Raw genomic sequence first — 7050 nt, 5'->3', positions numbered from 1 at the left:
TCAGCCTTTATTTAAAAATTTCAGTATTTTGTTCAGGGTGAACTTTTGCATTGGTTAGTATTTTTTAAATAATGCTTTAAAATAGAGAGTGTTTTGGGGAGCCATATTGGAGCCTCAAGCAAAGAGAAAAATCAGTCATATTGATTATATCTTTATTTAAAATTGTGATATTTTGATAATTACAGAACCTTTGCATTTTTTATTTTTAAAATATTACATTAAAATATTGTTTGATTACTGAGTTTTTGGCTCCTGCTTAAATTTAGCACTCAAGGCCAGTTTTTCACCCTAGTCCTGGTCCTGCATTGTACACAGGCTGCCCCACTCTCTCTTCAGGAGGAAATATAGTCTTAATCCAAGGCCAGTGCTTGGAGAGGGGTTTAGCTATGAGCCATTAGCAGCCAATACTCCTGGCATCTGGGGAAATGAGTGCCTTGATTTTGAATAGGGGCATGGTGCCTACCATAGTATCCACTGTGATACTGTGATGTCGACATATAATAAGATTGTTTTGTCATATAGTCATTCACTCATTGGGATAGTAAGATTGTCATGAAGGACATAAAGACTTATGTGAGAGGAACTTCAAGAAGCCTGACTGGAGGCATCTGACACTTACCTCCTCCACAGACAAGAACCAAAATAGCAAGTGCATAATCAAACTTCGAATAGAGCATCTAAGAGAGAATATTGGAATTCAACAGAGAAGGAACAGGAAGCACCTGAGGCATGGAAGGAGCAGGAAGGGAGGCAGTCAGCTCAGCTGGGATCAGCTGGGAGCTCATAAAGACTCCCTAGTTCAGGAAAAGGGTAAGCAGTAGATACCCACCTTTCCATATTCCCACCATGGACTCCTGATACCCTAGCCATGGGAGACCCCATCACAGGCTCTCAGAATAGCATAGGGACCTGCCTGGAGATGACACAAAGGCATTGCTCTAGAGTGGGAGTTCATAATGGTCCAACGCACCCACCAAGTCCTAAGCAGATTCACCATAGGGCCATTTTGAGAGCTTAGGACCCACTGGAGGTTGCATCCCGCCTTGGGGCCCAAGAGCCCCTGCACCTTCACGTCCCTGGAGCCCCACTGACACCATTCTGTGTCCACCCAGAGAGCCGTAGCAGCAATAACACCAGTCAGACTCAGCAGAATGGCAGGGTCCCCAGCACTCCAGCACACACAGTGCCCTGTATGCCAGGTAAACGGTGGTGCAGCACCCTAGGGAGGCTCTCCCAGGACAAAGAAAGCCAAAGCACATACTCTCTATGGCCAGAGAACCACCTACCTGGGACAGCTACCACATATAATGACCCTGCCCCCAGCAGCAGGGCTACTGCAATCACACTCTGAGGACAGACCCTCTCATCACCAGCCACAGCCACTATTGCTGCCACCAGAAGCCAAAACACATGTAGCTGGTCACGACTCCATCTACCAAGCAGCAGGGCTCCCATCACGCATTTGCACATTTCCTGAGAACTAGTTTTCCCTGCTGCTACTACAGCTGATATACCACTGCCACTGCCACTGGGGATTAAAGCATCCCTCCTCCCACACAGCCTAAGAACTGCCTGCCTGTGGCTATAGTTACTGTCAGAAACTCTGCCTCTACTCCAACAGCAGGACTGCAGCATACTTGGACATACCCTAATGGCAGGCTTTCCCTGCCTACCACCCCTGTTGTAGCAGACTCCCAAGCTCTCTACTGGGAGCCTGAGTGTCACTCCTCTCTGCCCACCATAGCCAGGGCCTGATTACATTCCTGGGGTCCCTGGAAACAGGCCTACCTGGCCTGGCACTCCCCCCACTCCAGTGCCCTAGAACACTGTCTAAGGGCTTGTCTCACCCTGTCCACCACCACTGGCATCTGTGCAGTCCTCCTAGGGCTGCTACCACCACAGCAGCACCCACTGCACATACTGCCTAGGGAATGAGGGACTGACATACCCAGCTCCTTGTAGATATCACTAACACCAATGTGTGTCACTTCAGAGCCCAAGGATTGTCTTGCCATTACTACTGCCATCACCCACATCACACATGCTATCCAGGGACCAAGGACCCACTCGACTGACTGACCCACCACTACCACTGCAGCACTTCAGCCATCTGTAGACCTAAGTATTGGCCTGTTTCAACCCACTAACACTGGTGACTTCATACGCCAACTGGGAACCCGAGGCCAGGCATGCTTGGTCTACTGCTGCCGCGACTGGAATCTGATGACTGGCCTACCTGTAATCCTCATCCTCAACAAAACCTCACCATAGCCTCCACTAACAACAACAACCTAAGCCACTTAGGAAATCACAGACACAGCTGATGCTGTTTACAGCTGAATAAATCATATGGAGACTACACTACTGCATGCACCCAGAATCAAAGCTAGTGTCCTACCCAACCAACAGCATAGATGTATCTTCAGGAAAAATCCCTTCCCTTGTAAAAGTCAATTCAAAAAAAAATTGGAAGAAGTGACTGTTACACCGGAGGTACAGTTATCAACGTAAAAACACAAGAAACCAATCCAGGCAACATAGCAAACCTTGTCTGTGCTAAAAATAAAAATAAAATGTTAGCCAGGAATGGCAGCACACTGCAGGCTATAGTCCTAAATACTTAGCAGGTTGAGGCAGGCTTGAGAGTAGGAACTTGAGTTCATAGTGAGCTATGATTGATAACACTGAAAATAATTGAAAGAAATCAGAAAAACAATTCAGGATGTGAGTGAGAAATTCACCAGAGATAGATATAATAAAAAAGAACAAACCAGAAGTCCTGGAAAGAAAGAATTCAATGAATGAAATTTTAAAAATTCATACAAGAGCTTCAACAATAGATCAAACAAAAGCAAAAATCTCAGAACCTGAAGACAAGTCTTTTGAAATTGCCCAGTCAGATTTTTTGAAAAGAAGAAAAGAGAATAAAAAAGAATGAACAAATCCTGTGACATAAGAACACAACACAACTAAATACATGAATTTTGGGTGTTCCAGAAGGTGAAGAGACCAAATCCATAGAAAACCTATTTAACAAAATAATAGCTGAAAACTTCCCAAGTCTAGCAAGAGATTTAGACATATAGATATGGGACGTTTATAATCCCTAAATAGATATAAGTCAAAAAAGTTATTCTCCAAGGCATATTAAGGTAAAAGTCAAAACCAAAGAGCATTATAAAAACAGCAAGAGAAAAGTGTTTAGTCACATATTAGGGAACCTCTATCAGACTAACTGGGGATTTTTAAAAATACATATAGCAAAAATATTACAGGTCAGGAGACAATAGAATGATATATTCAAAGTGATTAAAAAAAAAACTGTCAACCCAGAATACAATACCCAGCAAAGTTGTCCTTCATAAATGAAAGAAAAATAAAATCTTTCCCAAACAAGCAGAAACTGAGGGAATTCATCACTGCTAGACCAGACCTACAAGAAATGATCAAGGGCATTCTATACCTGGAAACAAAAGAATGATATCTACCATCATGAAAACACATGAAAGTATAAAACTCACTGGTAAAGCAAACCCACAAATAAGGAAGAGAAAGAACCCAAATGTTATCACTACAGAGAAACACCAAACCACAATGATAAACAACAAAAGAGAAAGAAAGAAAGGAAAAAAGAAAGGAAAAAGATAGAAAACAACCAGAAGATAATTAACAAAATGACAAGGATAAGTCCACACTTACCAATAATAACCTTGAATGTGAACAAATTAAATTTTCCACTTAAAATGTATAGACTAGCTAAATATAATAGATTTTTTTAAAACATGACTCAACTATATGCTACCTATAAGAAACTCATTTTACCTGTAAAGACATATATAGACTAAAAGTAAAGGGATGGAAAAAGACATTCCATACAAATGGAAAACAAAAAAACAAGCAGAAGTAGCTATACTTATATCAATATCATATAAAACAGAATTTAAGTCAAAAAACAGTAAAAATAGATAGAAAAAGGTCATTAAAACACAATAAAGGGATCAATTCAGCAAGAAGATTTAAAAATTCTAAATATATATCACCCAACATTGGTATATATAAATTAAATATTATTAGACCTAAAGGCAGAGATAGACTCCAATATAATAATAGTTTTAGACTTCAACACCCCATTATCAGCATTAGACAAATGATCTAGACAGGAATCAATAAAGAAACATTGGATTTAAATTGCAACTTAGACCAAATGGACCTATTCAACATCAACAGAACATTTTATTCAACAACAGTAGATACACGTTCTTCTCATCAGCACATGAGACATTCTCCAAAAAAGACCATAAGTTAGGCTACAAAACAAGTCCCAATAAATTCTTAAAAATTGAAATCATACTCAGCATCTTCTTAGACCATGGTGGAATAAAACTAGAAATCAGTAACAAGAGGAACTTTGGAAACTGTACAAATATATGAAAATTAATATGCTCTCAGCAACCATTGGGTGAATGAAAAAATTAAGAAGGAAATTAAAAAAGAAATTTTTGAAACAAAAAATGGAAACACAACATACCAAAACCTGTGGGATATAGCAAAAGCAGTGCTAAGAGGGAAGTTTATAGCAATAAATGCCTATATCAATAAAGTAAAAAAATAACAAATTAACAAACCAATAATATACTTAGGGGAACTAGAAAAGCGAGAACAAACCAAACTCGAAATCAGCAGAAGAAAAGAAATAATAAAGATAGGGGCAAAACTAAATGAAATAAAGACAAAAGAAGTAAGACAAAGGATCAACAAAATGATAAGCTGATTTTTCTAAAAGATAAATAAAATGAATAAACTGCTAACCAACCCAGCCAAGAAAAGAATTCGCAAATAAACACAATCAGAAATGAAAAAGGCAACATTACAGCTGATACCACAAGAACACAGAATACCATCAGATACTATTATGAACACCTATACAACAGACTGAAAAACATAGAGGAAATGGATGAATTCCTGGACATATATAACCTACCAACAATGAATCAGGAATAAATAGAAAACCTGAGAAGACTAATAACAAATAACAAGATTGAATCAGTAACAAAAAGTCTCTTAACAAAAAAAAGTCCAGAACCAGATGGCTTCACTGCCAAATTCTACCAAACTTACACAGAAGAATTAACACTAATTGTTATCAAAATATTCCAAGAAATTGAAGAGGAGGGAATTCTTCCCAACTCATTTTACAAGGCCAGCATTACTCTGATACACAAACCAGACAAGGGCACAACAAAAAAAGAAAACTACACATCACTATACATGGTGAATATAAATGCAAAAATCTTCAACAAAATACTAGCAAACCAAATCCAGTAGCACTTCAAAAATATAATACAAGTGGGATTTATCCCAGAGATGCAATGGTGGTTCAATGTATGCAAATCAATAAATGTGACACAGCACACCACCAGAATGAAGGACAAAAACCATGTGATAACCTCAATAAATGCAGAAAAAACATTTGATAAAGTCCAACGATCCTTCATAATAAAAACTCTCAACAAACTAGGCATACCGGAAGCATATCTGAACATAATAAAGTCTATAAATAACAAACCCTCAATTAACATCATAATAAATGGGGAAAGACTGCAAGCATTTCCTCAAAGAACTGGAACAAAACAAGGATGCCCACTTTCATCACTCATATTCAGCATAGTACTGGAAGTCTTAGCCAGAGCAATCAGGCAAAGAAAAGAAAGAAAAGGCTTCCAAATTGGAAAGGAGGAAATCAAATTGATCCTCTTTGCTGATAACATAAAACTGTTAGATATGATAAGTAAATTTAGTAAAGTTGCAAGATACAAAGTCAACATAAAAAAAATCAGTAGCATCTTTACATATCAGTAATGATACAGCCGAAAAAGAAATCAAGCAGGCAATCCCAGTTACAATAAATCCCATTTACAATAAACTAAATCCAGGAATAAATTTAATCAAAGATGTGAAAGATCTCTATAAGAAAAACTACAAAATACTGGTGAAAGAAATTAGAGAGGACACAAAACAAATGGAAAGTCACCTCATGCTCATGGATTGGAAGAATTAATATTGTTAAAATGACCATGCAACCCAAATCAATTTACAGATTCAATGCAATCCCTATTAAGATATCAATGTTATTTTTCACTAGAATAGAAAAAAACAACTCTAAAATTGTTACAGATCAAAAAAACAGCTCTAATGGCCAAAGCAATACTGAGAAAAAAAAGCAAAGCTGGACGTATCACACTACCTGACTTCAAAATATATTACAAGGCTATAGTAATCAAAACAGCATGGTATTGGTACAAAAACAGACACAGGCCAATGGAACAAATAGAGAACCCAAGGTTAGGCATGGTAGCTCACACCTGTAATCCCAGCATTTTGGGAGGCCAAGGTGGGAGGATTGCTTGAGGCCAGGAGCTCAAAAACAGTCTGGGCAACATGGCAAGACCCCAGGTCTAAAAAAAAAAAAAAAAAATAGCCAGGCATGTAGTCTGCTTCTGTAATCTCAGCTACTTGGGAGGTTGGGGCAGGAGGATTGCTTGGGCCCAGGAGGTTGAGGCTGCAGTGAAACGTGATTGTGCGACAGAGCAAAACTTTGTCTCAAAAACAAAAACAAACAAAAAAACAAAAAATAGAGAACCCAGAAATAAACCCACATTTTTATAGCCAACTGATTTTCAACAAAGGCTCCAAGAACACACATTGGGGAAAGGATATCCACTCCAATACGTGGTGCTGGTAAAACTGGATCTTCATATGCAGAAGAATAAAACTAGACAGCTATCTCTCATCATATAAAAATATCAATTCAAAATGGATTAAAGTCCTAAACATAAGACCCAAAACTATAAAACTGCTAGGAGAAAACATAGAGGAAACACCACAGGATATTGGCCTAGGCATAGATTTTATGGCTAAGATCTCAAAAGTGCAGGCAACAAATACAAGAATGGAGATGGGACTATGTTAAACTAAAAATCTTCTGCACAGCAAAGGAGATCATCAATAGAGTGAAGAGACAACCTGTTGAATAGGATAAAATATTTGCAA

At 38.4% G+C, this 7050-nt stretch overlaps 1 annotated feature.

The window, feature by feature from the left end:
- Positions 1545 to 2046: an enhancer, noted in NCBI's record as "H3K27ac hESC enhancer chr2:166710405-166710906 (GRCh37/hg19 assembly coordinates)". NCBI's record gives its function as "activates a minimal SCP1, AML or CMV promoter by ChIP-STARR-seq in primed H9 embryonic stem cells {active_cell/tissue: H9 hESC(primed)}" and the evidence as "EXISTENCE:reporter gene assay evidence [ECO:0000049][PMID:30033119]".

Source organism: Homo sapiens, chromosome 2 (assembly GCF_000001405.40).
Source record: "Homo sapiens chromosome 2, GRCh38.p14 Primary Assembly".
In the NCBI taxonomy this organism is placed as follows: domain Eukaryota; kingdom Metazoa; phylum Chordata; class Mammalia; order Primates; family Hominidae; genus Homo; species Homo sapiens.
This window is presented reverse-complemented; position numbering and strand designations above follow the sequence as displayed.